The sequence below is a fragment of the Homo sapiens genome, chromosome 17, assembly GCF_000001405.40.
Source record: "Homo sapiens chromosome 17, GRCh38.p14 Primary Assembly".
In the NCBI taxonomy this organism is placed as follows: domain Eukaryota; kingdom Metazoa; phylum Chordata; class Mammalia; order Primates; family Hominidae; genus Homo; species Homo sapiens.
In genome coordinates this window covers 66,114,599-66,137,108 of record NC_000017.11, presented here as the reverse complement: position 1 = coordinate 66,137,108, position 22,510 = coordinate 66,114,599, and the positions used below count along the sequence as shown (strand labels likewise).

Below are 22,510 nucleotides of genomic sequence, written 5' to 3'. Positions count from 1 at the left end.
ATCCTAAGCTTATTGAATATTTTGATTATGGTTGTTTTTAATTCTTACCAGCTAATCCATTTACCTTCATTTCTTTAGGGTTGGTTTCTGGAGATTTATTTTGTTCCTTTCTTTGGGCCATTTTTCATTTTCCTTGACCCTTTGTGTTAATGTCTGCATATTTGAAAAACAGCCGCTTCTCCCAGTCTTTATGGATTGGCTTTGTACAGGGGCAGACCTTCAAGAATCGGCCTGAGTAGAGATTCTGGGGTCCTCATAAACTTTTTCTGTGGATATGTCTTCTCTGGACTTCTGTGTGTAAATTTCTAAATAGTGGGATTTTCTGGTTTCTGTTTTTAGGAGATCATAATCTCTTGTTCCTTCTTATTCTGTGTCTTGTACCATGGGCCTTCTGGAGCTAGTAGCACACTGGCTCAATCCTTTTTTGGTTATTACTTGCTTTTTTAGTTTCAGCTGCCCCTAGGCACTTAGTTTATGCTGCGTCCCACCAGTGCTTCAAGACAGATGAGACAGAAACAAGTTCCTTGGGCAGTCCCCCAAGAGTCTGAATGTTGGATATATGCTTTAGTTTTCTCTTTCCCTCCCCAGGGAGAAGCTGTGGACCATGAGTTTTTCTAATTGTGCTGAGCCAGGGGTAGGAGCTCTGGCCGTGAGTGTTTACTAGTCCAAACCACCACCTTTGTTCTCAGTGGTCCCCAGGCATTTAGAGAATACCAGTCCTGTGAGTACTTGCAGAATCCGGTCCCTTAGGCAGCCCCTTCCAAAAGCCAGAATGTTGGACAGATGCTTCAGCTTTTTCGTTCCCCAGGGAGAAGTTGGGACTGGGGGTTTCCACCTGCTAGTTCTGAGCTGGTGGGAGGGGCTATGGTCAGTTACTGCATACTAGTCCAAACTGGAGGCTTCGTTCTCAGCAGTTCCCAACCTGGGACCCTTTCCTGTCACAGCTAAGATTCAGGCAAGACAGCAACAAGTCCCTTAAGTAACCTTGCTTATGGCGCAAGAGGATTCCACAAATTTTCCTACTGGCTTCAGTGTGGTTGGTTTCATGCTTGCCTGGAGTACAGGAGCCTCTCATCTGGTCTCTGGATGTCTCACAAAGGAAATTTTGGTCTATGTATTGTTGTTGAATTTATGTGTCCATTGAGAGAAGGAGAGTCTTGCTGACATCTGACGTCACCCCCTAAAGTAATTTTCTTTTACAGGAGGACATTTGATTGGTCTTCCTTTAGGCTTTATATCTATATATCTATATCTATATCTATATCTATATATAGTATCATTCCTTATTTCTTTATCTGTACAGGGATAAGTTTATATTTTTCTAGTATTAAGAATCAGCATTGATACTTTGAGAGTGTTTGTGAATTCCTGTTGAAATATTTTCTCATTAGGAAAAAGTGAAAGGGAAAATTTATATTCTCCTAGTTTTATGGCTTAAGAGTAGTAAAGGGCATGTCAGGGAATGTTACAAATGTACTGAATTTTTTCTTTCCATGTTGGTTTTGGCATCCTGAAATTAATTGAGGCACAATACCGCTTTTCTGCTTGGCACAAGTACCATATTATGAGCTCACTGTGATCAGGTCCCCTGTACCAATTGTAGGTTGTGCTTATAAGCACCAGGACTTGCTATTCTGTGTGGCGTGTGGCACTTGTTATTCATAAAAAGGCTTTTAAGGTTGAACTTTTCTCCCACTTTCTGTTTCACTGTTCACTCAGACCACTAGTGCCATCACTGAATTTCAGCCTTTGTACTTACTTAGAGTTTAAGTTGTTTCCAGCTGGAGACAGTCTTATGGCAGAAAATGAAACATCTGTACCTAATGTCCTGTTTTTCTTGTGCCAGCCAGATTTTAACAATGATACCAACCTTCTCCTTCAGTTGGCTCAAATGCCTTCACAAGAAGCTGGCTTCTGCAATGCCTCTCCATTACTTGGGCTTCATTGGAGCACGTATTAGGGGTAACATAGTAAGTTTAGTTAATAATAATGGACATGTTGAATTGGAAGTAGGGCTATTCATTTTGTTTTGTAATGGGTTTGGAGGCCAAGGGAGCAATTTGGACTATAGATGTAGATTTTGTAAGCAAAACTTATTATTTGAAAAACTAATACATTGGATCATCCAGAGAAAGCATGTAAAATGAAAATAAATTAGACACAGAACTCTGGGATCACAGCATGTATGGGATGGGCAAAGAAAGCTAGTGAAGGTTATTGTGAAGGAGATCTCTGAATGATAGGATGAGAACCATGGAAAAATGGTTTTTGTTTGTTCGTTTGTTTTTAGACAGGGTCTCACTCTGTCACCCAGGCTGGAGTGCAGTGGAACAATCACAGCTCACTGTAGCCTCAACCTCCCGCTGGTCTCAAGTGATCCTCCTACCTCAGCCTCCCAAGTAGCTGGGACCACAGGCATGTACCACCATGCCCGACTGACTGCTTTTTGTCGCATGTTGCCCAGGCTGGTCTCAAACTCCTGAGTTTAAGCAATAGGCTGACCTTGGCCTCCCAAAGTGCTGGGATTACAGTTGTGAGCTACTGCACCTGGCCAGAGAATGGTTTTATGGAGCCATTGAATGCAGCATCTTTAAACTACTATCTCTAATGTTTTAGTGAGATCAACTAAATTAAGGACAGATTATGACTCATTTTCTTGAGTGTCTAGGAGACTGTTGATGACCTTAGTTATAGGACTTTTGGGATGAATGCAAGTCATACTGTAGTTGATTGAAAAATATATGACAAGTTAGAGCATGGACCCAATAACATTTTTGAAAATTTATCGTGAGGGTAAAGAGGTTGGTACAGAAGGACAGCTACAAGTGAAACAAGAGGGTGTGTCGTTTTATGTATGCAACCCTGTGCAATAAATAGATAAACATTTCAGGCTCATTTTTAAATTAGTATTTTTTTATGAGAAGAATTTTAATATTTAAGCATTTTTCAATTTTTAAGTATAGATCTTTTTATGATTATTTAATCTATTCTTAAGAATACGCCACTGCTTAGTATGACATATCAGGTTACCTCTCCTCATAGAGTTTTAAATGCTTGTATCAGCTGATGCACATTGACTGGTACAATTATACTCAAAATATTAACTTTGCCCATTTTTCTCATTTGATTTTAACTATTTGGATGTTTGTACTACTGAATAGGGGTATTAAAAAAAACAGCTCTCTTTAAAACAGCTTTTTCAGCCATTTTACATTACTTATTAACTAGTCTAAGGAATGTTATTCTGTGAGTTTTAATTACAAAATACATTTGTTTTAATATTGTCTTTTGAATTAACATTCTGTCTTTTAGAAATACTTCGTGTAGGTCACAGTTTGTGAAGGAAATCCTAATATGGTTTGTGGTTGAATGTTAGTGACTTTAATTCATTGTATAATGGTTATTTTCCATTTAATATATCTTGAAGCAGTTGTTCAGAGAATAGGTGTTCATAATCATGGGACTTGCATTGAAGTGGTTTGAATAAAATCATATAAGAGAGACTCCAGGCTAAAGGAGGCCATTTAAGAATGTATTTTATATGATATTTATATTAGAGACGAGTCTTTTTGATGAAGTCCATTTAAACTCATTTCCTACTTACTCTGCATTTCACATTTTACCTAAATTAACATGGTGTGTTTTTAAATAGAAGATTTTGATATATCTGTGGTTTCTGACATGCTTTCAAATTAATTGAAACTTTAAACTACATGAAGGTTTTGTTATTTTATATATTTTAAGGCTTCATGTTGATGTGGAACATGAATCCAACCAAGTTTGCTGACCTTAAAACAATGTTCTTCCCGTAGAATATATGCTTCATTTTCTCTCTTTTTACACTTGGGAAAAATGGGAAAGGAGGAGAAAAGATTTAAATACAGGTGATTTATTACAGTCTGACTTAAAAATAGCATTTGCATAAGCAAGTCTGTGGCATTTATGTAACTTCTTATAATTTAAATGAAATGAAATATAAATAAAAAGGTTATTACTTGTATTTCTTTTCTTTTTTTTTTTTGATGTGGAACATCATTTTTTGTGTGTTTTTTGTTGTTGTTGTTGTTGTTTGAGATGAGTCTCGCACTGTCTCCCAGGCTGGAGTGCAGTGGCACAATCTCAGCTCACTGCAACCTCTGCCTCCCAGGTTCAAGTGATTCTCCTTGCCCCAGCCTCCCAAGTAGCTGGGATTACAGGCACTCGCCACCACGCCCGGCTATGGAACATCATTGTTAATACAAACTATCATCTCAGTTCCAAGGGAAAGAAATGGTAATCCTAGATTCTAATACTCTGTGTCCTCTGAATTCTCCAAATTGTGATTGCGATTATTTTGGTCTCTTAGCAGGGAACAGTACACTGGGAAGCTCCGAGTGAGATCACACTCCTTGAGTCCAACTCACAGAGAAGATGGACAAAATATTACCCCAAAGATTTGTGTAAGATTAGATTTTACTTTTGTTTGGTTTTTGCTTGTTGTTTTAAAATAGCTGAACAAAGTTTTAATTTCATTTGTTGAAGTACCAATGATTGCTTCAAAACAGAATAAAGTTGGATGATTCTGGTGAACATCCTGATGTTAAAGAAGGTGGGGTGTTTGGTATATAGTGTAGTATCCCTTCTACTTCCTCAATGATTCTGAGGTGTTATATTCATCAATCTGTTGTTTCTCCTGTGTGTCAAAGAATAACATTTTCCCTTTGTTCAGAATTTATGTGGAAATGATTATATACCCAGTGATCATAAAATTAAGAAGAAGCTGGAATTAACTTGTAGTGAAGTAGGGAACACTGCTTTTCTAATGAAGGTAAACTGTATATTTTGAAATAAGAATGTCTGTCTTGCATCTATTTGTTCAACATAGATTTGCTTTGGACAAGGTGCTAATGAGCACTCCAGTTAGCTTTTTTTTTTTTTTTTTTTTTTTTTTTTTTTTTTTTGAGATGGAGTCTCACTGTTGCCCAGGCTGGAGAGCAGTGGTGTGCAATCTTGGCTCACTGCAACCTCCGCCTCCCGGGTTCAAGCCATTCTCCTGCCTCAGCCTCCCAAGTAGCTGAGACTACAGGCATGCACCACCATGCCTGGCTAATTTTTGTATCTTTAGTAGAGACAGGGTTTCACCATGTTGACCAGGCTGGTATTGAACTCCTGACCTCAAGTGATCCACCCGCCACAGCCTCCCAAAGTGTTGGGATTACAGGCATGAGCCACTGCACCCAGCCCCAGTTAGCTTGGAAAAGAGAAACACTGTGCCTGCTTATTCCAGTCTTTATTGCCTAACTCTGGCTGTCTTGAGTTACATGACTTTTAGTTACAAGAGAAAGCATGTGTAACACATGACTGTTTTTGTTTTTGTTTTTTTGTGATGGAGTCTTGCTCTGTCGCCCAGGCTGGAGTGCAGTGGCACCTGCATGATCTCGGCTCACTGCAAGCTCCGCCTCCCGGGTTCACGCCGTTCTCCTGCCTCAGCCTCCCGAGTAGCTGGGACTACAGGCGCCTGCCGCCACACCTGGCTAATTTTTTGTATTTTTAGTAGAGACGGGGTTTCACTGTGTTAGTCAGGATGGTCTTGATCTCCTGACCTCGTGATCCGCCCGCCTCAGCCTCCCAAAGTGCTGGGATGACAGGCGTGAGCCACTGCCCCCGGCCAACACATGACTGTTTTAGCACATAGCACTATATACATAACTCATTGCATTTTATCGAATGATAATTTGGAATTAAAAAAATATAAAGGGCAGCATATTTTAAATAGTGATAAACTACAATCATTATATTTACTCAGAATAAGCAAGGCAGGTACATTGTCTTATTTAAGAAATTCTTGTTCATGAGAAAAACATACAAAAAGCAGAGGACCACTAGTAGAAGTGATAATGAATTTTAATATAGTATTATAAATAATAATGCAGTATTGTATTGAAAAGAAATGTAGAAACTCAGTAAAATATGAAGAACATTTTAGTGCATTTAAAAAAATTACTTCATAGTAATTTAAATGACCATAGATATAAATAGGTACATTTGTTAGCAATTAAGCCTTCTAAAAGCATGAGAATGCTGTATCAACAAATCTAATTTTAAAATACACTTTCTGGGCTGTCAGGTAGCCATTCTTTTCCACAGACTTACCTTTCTTAGTTTTTAGGGTTTTCTGGTCATTGTCAATTTCTGGGTACAGATCTTAGGTTGTCTCTAGTTCATTATAGTTTTCATCTGGGGCTGATAAATGTGTAATACAAAAATTATACAGGAGGGAAAAAAGCATGGAATTGTTATGTTTTAAAAAGTGAAGAATCACCATAATTGTGTGTGTTTTTTTTTTTTTTTTTTGAGACGGAGTCTCGCTCTGTCGCCCAGGCTGGAGTGCAGTGGCGTGATCTTGGCTCACTGCAAGCTCCACCTCCCGGGTTCACACCATTCTCCTGCCTCAGCGTCCCGAGTAGCTGGGATTACAGGTGCCCACCACCACGCCCGGCTAATTTTTTTGTATTTTTAGTAGAGACAGGGTTTCAGCCTGTTAGCCAGGATGGTCTTGATCTCCTGACCTCGTGATCTGCCCGCCTCGGCCTCCCAAAGTGCTGGGATTACAGGTGTGAGCCACTGTGCCCAACCATAATTGTGTTTTTATGATGTGAGTCCAAAGATTATTTATCTTTATGTTCAGTGTGTGAGTGAGAATTAATTTAAGAACAAAGAGCTTCTTGGACATCATCACAAAACTTCCCTGTTAACTAATTTTTATGAGAATAATTCATCTTTTCACGTCGCCCCTGCCCCCGACAATACACTTTAAAGCTACTGTGGTATACCACAATTAAAACTTTTTGTAAAAGAACTTAAAGAGAAGAGCCTGGATTAATTTTTAATTTTTTTTTTTTTGAAATTTAGTTGCTGTGTGAATATATTGTTAAGGCAGCTCATAGCCCTCAGCAGTCATTACTTAGAACTGAGAACCCTAGTTCAGTTGTAACCTAATCCTTTCCTCTGAGGGCAATACAGCATTACCAGACAAGCACACAAAACTCTCATTGCGCTGAATGACATGTATTTTGTTCTTTTTTTCTCCCTCCCGTCCCACTTCTTTCTCTTCTTTTTCTCCCTCCCTTCCCCCTCTTTCCCTTCTTTTCATCCCTTCCTTTCTTCCTTTTTTCCTTTTTTACTTCCTTCCTCTTTATTTCCCTTTATCTCTTCTATCTTTTCCTCTTTTATCTCTTCCATCTTTTCCTTTTATTTCTTCCATCTTTCCTTCCTCTCCTCTTCCTTTTTCCCTTTTGTATTTCAGGAAGTTTATTCGAAAAAATCTCCTGTTTCTTTGGATGATAGTGACATTGAAGCTCGCCTTAATAGTTGGAATCTTGGGGTAAAAAAAAGTATTTGCTTTATGTATATATAGATGTGTCAAAATCATATTGTATGTGTATAATATCTGAACTAATTTGATTTTATTCAGTGAACGTTGGATGTTAGACATATGTTACTGTGTGGCCTTGAGAAGGGCTTAAGTATAGGAAATAAATAACATTCTGAACAAACATAAAATAGTCCCTGTCCCCAACAAGCTAACTTTGTTATGTGTGAAATAAGAGATATGCACATAAAATAGTTAAATAATAATAAATAATAATTAAAGATAGTATATGGTAGAATACCAAGATGAGTTATGTGAGTCGCCCGAGGTGGAGGGGAGGGAAGGGAGAACTTGAAGCAACACAGCCATTTGGGTTAAAAACACTCAAGGGGACCCCATGGATGAGCAGCTCTTACGGAAAACAGTTTATAGAGGCTGAGGGTCATGAAAGTATTTGGAGAGGTAGAGAGGTGGGAATTGGAGGCAGAAATAGGCACGAAGAAAGATGTAGTGGGGTAAGTGAGCTGTCGTGATTGGGTGTTTGGAATTTATGTATGGAATCTGTGGGCACTGTGTCAGGCTGCGTTGCATTGGAGCTTTGAATGCTAAATTGAGAAGTTTAGCTTTTAAATTTTAGGCAACATTGAGCCCTGCATTTTTTTTTTCTCATTTCACTTTACATAAATGCTAACTGTTTAAATGCTTTGAGGAAACAACAAAAAGTGCTTAGAATGATTTTAGAATATGTTTTATTATAAAAATAATTTGTAATTTGAAAAATATAGAAAATCAGAGGAATAAAAATCAACAGAGACCTGTGTTAACATTTTGTTATATAACATATCTTTTCCTCCCTTTTTTCTGTGTGTTTTTATAAGATTCAACAAAATTTATTATAAATGCTATCTTATATGCAATTTAACATTTTATATGAATTTATAAGAATTCTATATAAATGACTGTGAATGGTAGCATTTATTTTTCTTTCGGATGGATATTCCATAAACTTTTTAAGTGTTCTGCTATTTTTGGACATCTGAATTGCTCCCAGTTTGTTTAACACAAGTAATTTTGCAGTAAAATTCCTTATAAGAATCTTTTTATACATATTTGATTGCTTTCTTAGCTTACATTACATCTTTGGTACATTGTCTTCCAGAAGGTTCATACCAATTTCAACCAGCAGTATCAGTTGTCCATTTTCTTCAACCAGCAGTATATCAGTTGTCCATTTTCCACCTATTCACTGACATTAGGGATTGTTATTTCAAAAAACTTAAAAACTTCCTACTAATAATGGTCTTTAATGAAAGCAGTGCTTTAGGGAAATTGACTTGGTGGGATTATGAAAGTTCTATTGGATATGAGTAGAAATGCAGACAAGGTCTTGATTATCTTTTAGGTCTTTTTTTTTCTTATACTTTTTCTTTCTGTCTTTTTTTTTTTTTTTTTTTTGAGACAGAATCTTGCTGTGTCGCACAGGCTGGAGTGCAGTGGTGCTATTGTGGCTCACTGCAACCTCTGCCTCCTGGGTTCAAGCAATCCTCCTGCCTCAGCCTCCCAAGTAGCTGGGATTACAGGTGCGTGCCACCATGCCTGGCTAATTTTTGTATTTTTAGTAGAGACGGGGGTTTCACCATGTTGGTCAGGCTGGTCTCGAACTCCCGACCCTCAGGTGATCTGCCCACCTTGGCCTCCCAGAGTGCTGGGATTACAAGTGTGGGCCACCGCGCCTGGCCGTTTTAGGTCTTTATAGTGGACTCCATGTTAGTATGATTGCTGGGAGGAGGGAAAGGTAAAAAGGAAAAACTTTTGAGAGAGTAAAATGTGCTAAGTGACTGATTGAAAGGCTGAACTGAAGGGCACCTAAAGGCTTGGTTCTGAGAAACGGAAATGTTGGCCTTTTGTCAGTTAATTGACTGTCAGATGAGGGCGGATCCATTTTAAAGGTTTTAATTTAAATAGTGGAGTTTGAAAACTGGTAAGGTTAAATGGGATAGTTCAAGGCCTAGAGCTTCCTGAGAGTCAAGAGCTGGAGGTATATGTTGGAGTCACACTGTTTGAGGAGGCAGCTGCGCCCGGAGACTAGAACAGCTCTAATCTTTGGAGAGCTCAGAGAGTCAGGAGGTCTGGGTGGAGAGCAGAGTAAGGGAGGATGTCTGGTTCATGGAATGGGCACAGTTAGAAGGTTGGGAAATGGATAGGAAATTAAAGTAATGTGGGCCTCCTATTAATTTTGGGAGTTTTCTAGAGAAGGAGAGAAGTAGAATTGATGAGAGGAGGATAATAAATCAAAAGAAAAACATTTTCATGTTTTAAGGTGCAGGGGAAGTTGCCATTGGAGGCAAGTCCTGTTACCAGTGTGGGAGAAGAGCACAGGAAATCCTTCAGAAAGACAAATTCCTTTTGCCAGAGAGCAACATCAAAGTGGAAAAGAAAATTCTGGAGCTATCCTTTTAAACTCACCTTTGCCCTTAGCCACTTGAAACATGATATACATTACTTAGCACATAGAGTACTTTTCACGGTTGTTTAACTGTTCTGAGAATTAAATCTTTCCTTGGTATAATAAAATTAAAATAAAACATTTAAGATATTGTGAGGTAATACTTTAAAAGTAGGTCTGTCTAGGGTTTTGTTTCACATTTTTATTGTTCAAAGAATACACTTACAGTGTAAAATATAAGTCTTGCATTTTTATATATTTGTACCATATAGGCATTAATCAGGCTGAGCAATATCTCTTTAAATAGAATAATTTAAGTATTCAATTTATTAGAAAGCTTAGATTTTGCTTTGATTTTAGTTTTGTCTGAGAATGTGTGACTGGCTTGTTTTCTTTCTTCCTCTGAGTGATCCATTAGTAGCCAGAGTTAATTTTTGTGCTCTGGACTACGGATACATTTTTTATATTACTGATGTTACTGTCAACACCTTCATTCTGATGCCTTAGATGTTGTAGAATTTGAATTTTCTAGCTTTTGTTAAAAAATCAAATTTTTCCCAAATATATTCTTTATTTTCCCAGAAATCAAATTCCCAAATGTATTCTTTATTTTCCCAGGAGTATGTTAGTATTTTTTCTAGGAATACATAATTCAAATAGAGATTTATTTATTAAAAACTAGCAATGATATTTTTCTCTTGTATTTTTTCTTAATATTTAAACTTTTCAACATTTAGTTTTTATGACGCTTTCTTGCTTTCTCAATATATTTTTTACCTATTTCGTGTCTGACTCTCTAAGTCACAAGCTGAATGTTTGTGCTGTGGGTATTCGCTATTTGTAAGTTCATTTGAGTGCTTGCATGGATGGAGGCTTTGGAACATTCTCCCTTTAGTGACTCGTGGATCATTGTGAAACACTCTATGTGTACCCATTTGAAAAAAAACTTTAAAAATTATGTCTTATTTGGTTTTTCAAGTTTTAGATTCTATTTATTTTGCGATTAATGTAATATCTTAAGATCTATGTCAGGAATATTGGAAGTTTTTGATGTTGACTAGGAATTATTTGTAGCTTCCTTTGTAAAGTGCTACAGTTTTAAGGTAGTAGGAAAAAGTCATAAGTATGTTCATTCTGGTTTCTAGAATGTGCTTGTGAATTTTCTTTGATAAGTGAGGCATATAATATTAACATTCAATGAAAATCACAATCATGAAACAAGTTAAGCATCCTGTCTCTCTTTGAATTTAAATCCCTTTATCTACCTTATAGGTATAGAAATGGATGGGAAAAATTAGCTTGCTGACACAATTGAAATCTTCCATTGAATGAAGCTTTTAAATTTAGCACTAAAAATCATGGTCATTATTGACTGATGGTTTAAAAGAAAAATGGCCATACATAGAAAGACCAACTTTTATCCTAAGAAAATTATGTTATCCTTACTCTTGTGTGGTAATTGAATTGATAATATTTTCTTTGCAATTCTAATTACACAGAGATTTGTAGTCTCTTTTCTTATTTTTTCCTTTTTCTCCTTTCTCTTCTTTTTCTCTTCTTTTTTTTCTTTTCTTTTCCTCTTCTTCATGGGTCTTTATTGTAATTTTACTTAAGGTTACAGAGAAGGGAAATGTGTTCATTAATGGGGTACTTTGTGGTATGATTAGTTGGGACAATTCTCATTAAGTAAGCATCTAATTTCAGCTGTCTTATCTAGTTTTATTTTAGGCAATTTCATGCTTTTTTTTTCATGTAGGTTAGAAACCTGCCCATTTTCTTATTTTTTCTTTTTTTTAGAGACAGGGTCTTGCTCTGTCACCAAGGCTAAAGTGCAGTGGCATGATCATAGTGCTCACTGCAGCCTTGAACTCATGGGTTCAAGTGATCGTCTTGCCTCAGCCTCTTGAGTAGCTGGTGGTGCACACCACCATGCCTGACTCCTGTCCATTTCATACTACGCAATGGTCTGGGAGAGAAACTGAGCTGAAAATTCTGATATTTTAGGCTTCTCATTTGGCTGTAGTTTTCCACAAATGAGTGAAAGTGTCAGATTTTGAGACTAGGACAAAGTTACCCAAATGAAGAAGAGTTATGAGAGTGGTTTACATAAAAAATTAATACTTTGATAAGACAAATTCTCTTTGTCTTTCTCTAGAGTTTAAAAATATCTGGAAGTATCTACTCAAAATGGTAGCTGATAATTCCACATGGTAAAATATCAGCACTTATTTTCTTAACATTTTAAGTGTTTTTTTAAATAGTAAATATTTATTATTCATAAAAAACAAACAAAGCCGTAACAGTATTTATAGCATTTTCCCCAAAGCTTGCTTTTGGGGAGTGTAACTATATTCAGAGTTTTATTTGAGAAGTTGACATTTATTTCTTTTAAAAGTGAATGTAAACTTCTGGCCATGAGTAAATCTATTACAGCCAGGTTCTCCCACAACCAAGAATTCTGGACAAAATACAAAAAGCAAACCAACTGGGGACTCTGAAAAGTCAATAATAACAGGCCGATTGAGAGGGAAGTTGGAATATGAAGAATCACTGATATAGTGGCAGGAAGTTTCCTGGTTTTCTGTTTGTGTTTTTTTTCTTCCTTAACTCCCAGCTTTGACTCCAGGGTGGGCCAAATTGAGGGATTGTGTAGCAGGCATGGATGGCAGAAACTTACAGAGCAGCCCATCTTTTTGGCCAGAGAAGTGGGAGAATGGAAGAATGTGAGGGGATTTTTTTTTTTCTTTCTTGGCCCTGCCTCTAGACCAGCCCCAGTGGAAAAACTATGCTATTGTGGTATAAGGGCAGCAGTTAGCGCCCATCTGTTTGGCTGGATCAACAGATAAAAGAAACCTCTCTTCATGCAAAGAATATGGGAGGAACATTTTATATACTTTTTTTTTCCCATGTATTTTCGCTTGCTATTATACTTTCCTCTGAGAGTATGCCTAGTCACCTGGAACTGTACAATAGTGCAATGAGGTTCCTTCAGAGTTTGGCCAGTGGGACTGGAAAAGAAGCTCTCAGAGCCAGAGAGTATGCAGGGAAATCCAGGAATGGAAAGAGTGGGAGAAGGGGATTGGTAGTCTGTGTATGAACCATACAAGTTCCAGTCTTTCCCCAAGGTGGACATGTGTGGAACATAGCCCCCAAATCATAGCCTCATAGAAGTCTTAGAGAACTGAACTGTCATGTAAACTATTGCCCTAGTCCCAGACCACCCCTTGAGTGGTACATGTGAGAGGCAGACTCAAATGACATAGTAAAGACTTCAAACTTGAAACTGACACCAGAGCTACTGTCCGTAGGAGAGATGGAATTCGCAGACTGATCTGAATGCAGTTGACTGTCCACTGAGACAAATGAACAAGCATCGCCATTTTTCAGAACCTTACAATATAATTATAATGATTAAGATAATAATTTTTCAGATCATAGAGAATTAAACTAGAGATTGGTAACAAATTATTTGGGAAATCCACAAATATTTAGAAATTAAACAACACACTTCTAAATAATCCAGGGGTAAAAGAAAAAATCTCAAGGGAAATGAGAAAATATTTTAAAATGACAACACAACATATCAAAATGTGTGGGATGTAGCCCAAGTAGGTTTCATTGGGAAATTTACAGCATGAAATACTTATTTTAGAAAAGAAGAGGGGGTTTCTATTTCTAGAATGGTAGCATGAGGAGCTCCACAGATGTGCTCCCTAGCAAAACAAGCATAATTGCTAATTGGTAATTAAATCTGGAAATTGTCCTAAAGGCATAGAGCAAATGAAGACATTTATTCAAGAAAATCAACTACAGCTTGGTAAGAACAGCAAGAGTTTTTGGCACTTCAACCATGACTCGCTTTCACTTTTCCCCTGTTCCTTCTCCAGCTCAGCTTCACAGAAATTCCATTCCCAGTGGGTGTGGCAAAGAAGATGAAGTTTCTCTCCCCTGAGCTCCCAATCAAGGGATACAGTATTGTATTGGGAGGGGCATGCTGCCAGCATTTCTTATCCCTTTGAAGTCTAAGTGGAGGTGGCTAAATTCCTGGTGAGTGCAGCTTAGTGGTTGGGGGAAAGGGCTCTTTTCCTCCACTCAGCCAAGACTGATAGGGCAGAAGCTCTACCCCAGACACAGTAGGTCAAGAATACTGTGGCCTTCATTGTCCTTACCTCGACTTGTTCATAGGATAGAGATTTCACTCCAAGAGATGCAAGCCGGGAACAAGAAAGCTACTCCCTCTGCACAGTGCCCAGTGTAGTAGCTCATAGATTTTTGTACAGGGGGAGAGGCAGTCTGAAGACCAGTGAGATCAGAAGCTCTCCTCAAAGAAATGGACTAATGGAAACAGTGTTGGGAAGTTCAAACCTAAGGATGCTGTAGAAAACAATGGAGATTTTTAAAGAGGAGACTGGTAGTTCCTACTAATTAACAGCAGTAAGCTAAACCACAGGCTAGTACATTCACCAGAGAGAACCAGGGACAGAGACAGCTAAGAAGAGTCCTCCTGGGGTCAGAACAATCCTCAGAGACTACCTCAGCATCTACCCCTGCCTGAATTTAATTGGATCAGCCTATGGAGCAATTTATGACCCAGGGTGTTGTTGAAAATAATAGAACAAACAGCCAGCAATTAGTAGACATAATAGCTGGGTGTCATATCAAATTAGATATAGAGTTCAACAAAAAGATAAGGGGAAAAAACAGAGGAGCCCTGCTAAATCCACTGTCATCACAGGTGACTGTATGCATGCCCAAGGCTGCATACACTGAGGGGTGATTCCAAAGTCTTCACCCTGTGGGAGAAATATACTTTATGAAATAGTCTAGCCAAGCCACTAATCAAATAAACAAATGAAAACAACTAAAATTACTCATGGAGAGGGGAATCAGTGTCCAAAGTTGCTACATTGTATTACCTAAAATGTCCAATTTTCAAGAAAAAAAATTATAAGACATGCAAAGAAACAGGAAAGTATGGCCCTTATACAGAGAAAAATTATGCAACAGAAATGGCCTGTGAGACCAGATTTAACAAACAAAGACTTCAAAATAGCCATTATAAATGTGTTCAAAGAACTAAAGGAAACGATGTTTAAAGAAGTAAAGAAAGCTGTGATGGGCCAGGCGCAGTGGCTCATGCCTATAATCCCAGCACTTTGGGAGGCTGAGGTGGGCGGATCACGAGGTCAAGAGATCAAGACCATCCTGGCTAACATAGTGAAACCCCATCTCTACTAAAAATACAAAAAATTATTTGGGCATGGTGGTGCACACCTGTAGTCCCAGCTACTTGGGAAGCTGCGGCAGGAGGATCACTTGAACCTGGGAAGTGGAGGTTGCAGAGAGCCGAGATCGCACCATTGCACTCCAGCCTGGGCGACAGAGCGAGACTCTGTCTGAAAAAAACAAAAACAAGAGCAAAAAACAGAAAGCTGTGATGACCATATCACATCAAATACAGAATATCATAAAGAGATTTAAATTATGAAAAAGAACCAGAGCTGGGCACAGTGGCATGCACCTATAGTTCCAGCTCCTCAGGAGGCATAGCCACTGTACTCCAGCCTGGGCAACATAGTGAGACCCCCATCTCTAAAAACAAAAAGCAAAAAAAAAAAACAGATGGAAATTATAGTGTTAAACCGTATAACCGAAGTGAAAAATTCACCATAGGGGCTCAGCAATAGATTTGAACTGGCAGAAGATTCAGTGAACTTGAAGATAGATTGATAGAGATTATGCAGGCCAAAGAAGAGAGTGAAAAAAGAATGCAGAAAAATGAACATTGCCTCACGGAAATGTGGAATACCATAAGTGCACCAACATATGTGTAATGCGGGTACCAGAACAAGAGGAGACAAAGGAGCAGAAAATACGTTTGAAGAATGATTGGCTGCAAAATTTCTAGTTTGATGAGAAACATCAATTTGCGCATCCAAAAAGCTCAATGCACTTCAAGTTTAAATACAAAGAGTCACACTTAGCCACAGTACTAAAATTGCTGAGAAACAAAGAGAAATCTTTTTTTTTTTTTTGAGACGAAGTGTCGCTCATGTTGCCCAGGCTAGAGTGCAATGGCACGATCTCAGCTTACCGCAACTTCTGCCTCCCAGGTTCAAGCGATTCTCCTGCCTCAGCCTCCCAAGTAGCTGGGATTACAGGCATGTGCCACCACGCCTAACTTTTTGTATTTTTAGTAGAGACGGGGTTTCTCCATGTTGGTCAGACTGGTCTCGAACTCCCAACCTCAGGCGATCCGCCCGCCTCGGCCTCCCAAAGTGCTGGGATTACAGGCATGAGCCACTGCACCCGGCCAACAAAGAGAAAATCTTGAAAGCACCAAGAGAGAAAAGAAAGTTCTAAATTATGAATCTAAACCCCCATCTAAAGAAACTGGCGAAAGAACAAGTTAAACCCAAAGTAAGCAGATGAAGGAAATAATAAAGATTAAAGTAGAAATCAATGAAATTGAACACAAGCAATAATGAAAATCAGTGAAACCAAAAGCTGGATTTTTAAGTGATGAATGGAATCAATGAACTTTTAGCCAGACTGACAAAGAATGAAAAGAATAGATTTGCTAATATCAAGAATGAAAGAGAAGATATCATTACAGACACTATAGATACTCAAAGTATAATAAGAGATTACTGCAAGCAACTCTATGGGCATACATTTGACAATGTAGATGAAAGGGAAAAAGTCCTTGAGCAACACAAACTACCAAAAATTCACTTAAGATGAAATAGATAACCTGCATAGTCCTATAGCTATTAAATAAATATAATTTATATTTTAAAACCTCCCAACAGGCTGGGCGCAGTGGCTCACACCTATAATCCTAGCACTTTGGGAGGCCAAGGTGGGCTGATGACCTGAGGCCAGGAGTTCGAGACCAGCCTGGCCAACATGGTAAAACCTCGTCTCTACTAAAAATACAAAAATTAGCTGGGTGTGGTGGCATGTGCCTGTAGTCCTAGCTACATGGGAGGCCGAAGCAGGAGAATTGCTTGAACCCAGGAGGTGGAGGTTGCAGTGAGCTGAGATCATGCCACTGCACTCCAGCCTGGGCGATGGAGTGAGACTCCATCTCAAAAACAAAAACAAAAACCTCCCAACAAAGAAAATTTCAGGCCTGCATGGTTTCACTGACAAATTTAATTAAACAATTAAGGGAGAAATAATACCAATTCTATACCATCTCCACCGGAAGAGGGAACACTTTCCAATTTGTGTTGTGAGGCCAGTTTCATCTTAGGGAGATATTCACATATCTGGCAAATACCTTTATCCAGAATATATAAAGATTCTGAAACCTCAACAATAAGAAAACAACCTAATTAAAAGATGGGACAAAAGATGCTATGATGAGATACCACTACACACCTATTATAATGGTGAAAACAAACAAAGACCTGACAATACAAAATGCTGGTGAGGATGAGGAGCAACTGGAACCCTCACCTCTTGCTGCAAAATATTACTTGGAAAACAGTTGGCACTTAAAAAAAATTAAAACACATTTATCACATGACCCACCAATCTCACTCCTAAGTATTTACTCAAGTGTGATGAAAGTCTGTGTTCACACAAAAACTTTATATGCAAGTATTTTTAACAGTTCTCTCTCTCCCTCTTTTCTGGTAATTGTTCAAAACTGCAAATAGTCCTAAATGCCCCTCAACTGGAGACTGGATAAACAAATTATATGTACATCTATACAATAGAATACTTTTTAGTAATGAAAAGGACTCAATTATCAAATCACACAATAAAGTGGATGAATTTCAAATATATTATATTGAATGGAAGAAGCCAGACTAAAAAGGCTGTTTTTTAAATTGCATTTATATGGTATTGTGGAAATGGTAAAACTATAAGAATGGAGAACAGATTAGTAGTTTCCAGGTGTTGGGCTAGAATTTGGCTACAAGGGTATAAATAGCACTAGAGATTTTTATTTTATTATTTTTTAAGTTCTGGGGTACATGTGCAGGATGTGCAAGTTTGTTATATACGTGTGCCATGATGGTTTGCTGCACCTATTAACCCATCACTTAAGCCCAGCGTGCATTAGCTCTTTTTTCTAATGCTCTCCCCACAACCCTCTAGCCTCCCCTGACAGGCCCCAGTGTGTGTTGTTCCCTTCCCTGTGTCCATGTGTTCTCACTGTTCAGCTCCCACTTATAAATGAGAACGTGTGGTGGTTGGTTTTCTGTTCCTGCATTAGTTTGCTGAGGATCATGGCTTCCAGCTTCATCCATGTCCCTGCAAAGACATAATCTTTTTTCTTTTTATGGCTGCATAGTATTCCTTGGTGTATATGTACCACATTTTCTTTATCCAGTCTATCATTGATGGGCATTTGGGTTGATTCCATGTCTTTGCTATTGTGAATAAGCACTAGGGATTTTTTTTTGTTTGATGGAACTATTTTGTTATTTTAAAATTTTTAATTATGGATACATATTAGTTCATATTTATGGGGATGTGATATTTTGATACAAGCATACCATGTGTTATAATCAAATCAGAGTAATTGAGATATCATTTACCTCAAACATTTACCATTTCTTTGTGTTAGGAATATTTCAATCCCATTTTTCAGTTATTTTAAAATATACAGTAAGTTATTGTTAACTATAGTTACCCTACCATGCTACTGAACACTAGATTTTATTCCTTCTATCTAGCTATATTTTCATACCTATTTACCAGTCCCTATTTAACCCTCACTCCCCACTACCCCTCCCAGCCTCTGGTAACCATCATTCTATTTTATACCTCCATGAGTTCATTTTCTTTTTTATAGCTAGCACATTAGCACATATGAGTGAGAACATGTGATATTTGTCTTTCTGTGCTTGCCTTATTTCATTTAACATAATGTCTTCCAGTTCTATTCATGTTGTTGCAAATGACAGTATTTCATTCTTATAGCTAAATAATATTCAATTGTGTATATATACCATGTTTTCTTTATCCATTTATCCTTTGATGGGCAATAAGATTGATTCCATATCTTGGCTACTGTGAATAGTGCTGCAATAATCATGGGAGTTTAGTATAAATGCAGTAATCTGTCCCATGTTTACTACAGCACTATTAGATATCTCTTCCATATACTGATTTCCTTTCTTTTGGATGTAGACCCAGCATTGGGATTGATGAATCTTATGGTAGTTCTATTTTTAATTTTTTAAGAAACCACCATACTGTTCTCCATAGTGGCTGTGCTAATTTACATTCCCACCACCAGTGTCTAGGGGCTCCCCTTTCTCCACATCCTCGTCAGCATCCTTTATTGCCTGTCATTTTGATATAAGCCATTTTAACTGATGTGAGATGGTATCTCATTATGGTTTTGATTTGCATTTCTTTGATGATTAATGATTTGAGTATTTTTTTCATATACCTGCTGGCCATTTGTATGTCTTCTTCTGAGAAGTGTCTATTGAGATCTTCTACCCATTTAAAAATGAGGGATTTTCCCCCTATTAAGTTGTGTGAACTCTTTATGTATTTTGGTCATTAATCTCATGTCAGATACTTAGTTTGCAAATATCTCCCATTTTGTGGGTTGTCTCTTCACTTTGTTGATTGTTTCCTTTGCTGTGCAGAAGCTTTTTAGCTTGATGTCGCCCCATCTGTCCATTTTTGCTTTGGCTGCTTGTGCTTTTGAGGTCTTACTCAAATAATCTTTGCAGAGACCAATATCCTGGAGTGTTTCACCAACAGAACTGTTTTCTTGGTATTTTGCTGGTTATACCACTGTATTCTTTTGTCAAAGCTCACAGAGGCATAGAGGGAATTTAAATTTAAAAAATTCAAAAAGTTAATATATTCTGCTGTTTTCCATGAGGAGTCAGCCATGAGCAACATTTTATTTTTTTTTTGGTCTTGTGCTTTATTTATTGTTTTAAGGAAAAAGAAAGAAATTATTTGTGCTCCTGACCTGCAAGGATATATTCCATTTATAGCTATAGCTAACGATGGGTAAAAGAGCTGAAGCCTATCAGAGTGACTAATAATTTCTGTTTTTCTATGTAGTATGTTTCCTTTTAAAAATCATGATTCACCTAGAGTTACCTTTTTGAAAGAACTGAAAAAAATTTTGAGCCTGGGTACGGTAGCTCACACCTGTAATCCAAGCACTTTGGGAGATTGAGGCGAGTGGATCATGAGGTCAAGAGATCCAGACCATCCTGGCCAACATGGTGAAACCCCGTCTCTACTAATTTTTGTATTTTTGTAAAAATTTTTGTAAAAATACAAAAATTAGCTAGGCATGGTGACATGTGCTTGTAGTTCCAGTTACTCAGGAGGCTGAGGCAGGAGAATTGCTTGAACCCAGGAGGCGGAGGTTGCAGTGAGCCGAGATCGCACCACTGTTTCCCAGCCTGGCAACAGAGCGAGACTCCGTCTCAGAAAAAAAAAAAAAAAAAAAAGGAGATTGGAGAAATTACCATGCTTCATATATAATTTTTAAAATGGTATGGCAGTTTCTAAAAGTGAATAAAAAGTATGGTTCCAGAACAAAGACCAACTAAAAGAATGGGATATGGATTTATAGACTTTTCACATAGTCATGGGATAGTTATAAAACTGATTTAACTGAGGCATAAAGAAATTCTAATTAAATGAGTTCATTTGAATAAAGCTAGACAGTAACATCAAAAAGATAGTTCCCTTTCCGTGTTTTCATCTGAAAGCTTAAAATGAAGTACAAACACACTCCTGAATAGCTTTGTGTAAAAACAGTAATAAAAACCAAGTGCAGACTAAAATAAATCATGGTAAAATTTGACAAAACATTCTGTGATGTGCCCAAAGTGATATTGAGGATCAAAGATCCCTTATTTAATTTAATCAATTAAAAAAACAAAGCCAAAATATAAACAAAAACCTACAAGAAACAATCAAAATTTCCCCCAAAGCATTAGAACTAATCAATGAAACAGAAGCTGGATCTTTGCAAAGAACAATAAAACGGAAAACTTTATGGTGTCTTCAATGTGATCTAGAAACAAGAGGACAAAAAAAAATGTTAATTGTTGAAAAGAGATCATAATGGTAGATACAGAGCTCTCACAATTATAGGTAAGCACTGTATCTGCTGGTATATAAAATGCATCAGTGTGTAAGGAACGTTACAAATTTCAAGGAAAAGTTGGTAAATACTTTTTCATTACTTACCCTTCCCTTGTCTTGTAGCTGGGTCAAATTTTTTCTAACCCTCTGCTGGGTCAAAATTTTCTTCCTCTGTTCTTCCTGTAAGAAATGTGGAAACCTGGCCATTGTACTCAGTGTGGCCTTCATTTTGGGGCTGATTGAGACCTGCTTTAACCTTCATTTCGGGGCTTATTGAGGGCAGCTATCACACTGGCATAGCCAACAGACAAGGAAGTCCAGCTGAGATTGTTACTGAAACACCAGGGGTTCAGTCTAGGCCCTGCTGTTTGCTGCACAGAAAGCCAATCACTGAGACAACAATTATTGCCAAGGAAGAAGGCTTTAATTGGGTGCTGCAGCCAAGGAGATGGGAGATCAATCTCAGATTAATCTCTCTGAATGACTAAAATTAGAGGTTTACATAGCAGGGAAGAACTGTAACAATGTGTAAGAAAACAGGAACTAGGGAGAAATAAAGGAGCAATCATGGTGAATGAGGGGTCCAGCATTGCATTGTCTGGATGTGGTGATCTGGTCAGTTTCAGTTCTTTGATATTTTATTGAGATGCCTGAGGAGGGAACTCAGATAAAACAAATGCAAGTTTCAAACTTTAAGACCAGAAGAGCACATTTCTATGTTTATCCGAAAGAACTGTCTATGGGACTCTTGGGTCGATTTCAAGAATGCACTGTCCCAGTAGATGAGCTGCCCAAGTTGCTGACTCACAGAATTGGGTGCTAAATAAAATGGTTGTAGTTTCAAGCCATGAAGTTTTGGGATGATCTGTTATGCAGCAAAAAGCTAACTGATATGATAGATATTGCCAGTTTTCCAAAGTGGCTGTGCCAATCTACCTTCTCAGCAGCACTGTGTGCTAGAGCCCATTACTCTGCCTGTTCTCCAATACCTAGTATTGTCAGGGTTTTTTTTTTGTTTGTTTGAGACAGTCTCTGTCACCCAGGCTGGAGTGCAGTGGCATGATCTTGGCTCACTGCAACCTCTGCCTCCCAGGTTTAAGTGATTCTCCTGCTTCAGCCTCCTGAGTAGCTAGGATTACAGGTGTCCGCCACCATGCCTGGCTAATTTTTATATTTTTAGTAGAGACAGGGTTTCACCATGTTGGCCAGGCTGGTCTCAAACTCCTGACCTCAGGTGATCCATCTGCCTCGGCCTCCTAAAGTGTTGGGATGACAGGCATGAGCCACTGCGCCTGGCCAGGCAATTTTTTTTTTTAATTAAAAAAAGCCATTCTTGAGAGTAGTTAGTGACATAGTATTGTGTGGTTTTAATATATGTTTTCCTGATGACTAATACAGTTAGGTGCATTTTAATATGTTTATTGTCAATTTGGATAGCCTCTCAAAGTGTTTACTGAAAGCTTTGTCAGTTTTCCTGTTGTCTGCCCTTTTCCTATTCCTATATAAGAGCTTTTTCTCTATTCTGCATGAGAGTCCTTTTGGAATATAGTATTGTAAATTTTCTGTGGAAAAATGGTTTTAAAGTTCTAAAATATTTACTTAAAAGCATAATTTTGGAGCAT

The 22,510-nt window shown here is 38.0% G+C and overlaps 1 protein-coding gene across 18 annotated transcripts in view; it reads left to right on the top strand.

The window, feature by feature from the left end:
• Window positions 1-22,510, top strand: part of CEP112 (centrosomal protein 112) — a 556,597-nt gene that overhangs the window by 55,025 nt on the left and 479,062 nt on the right. For all 18 annotated transcript variants that reach the window (XR_007065281.1, XR_007065280.1, XR_007065282.1 and 15 more), the window contains 2 exons: window positions 4,346-4,439; window positions 7,286-7,363. Coding sequence is in view for 13 of the 18 variants with exons in the window: in NM_001353128.2 (NP_001340057.1) it covers window positions 4,346-4,439; window positions 7,286-7,363 (172 nt within the window). In the remaining 5 variants the exon portion in view is untranslated. The remainder of the gene's footprint in view (window positions 1-4,345; window positions 4,440-7,285; window positions 7,364-22,510) is intronic.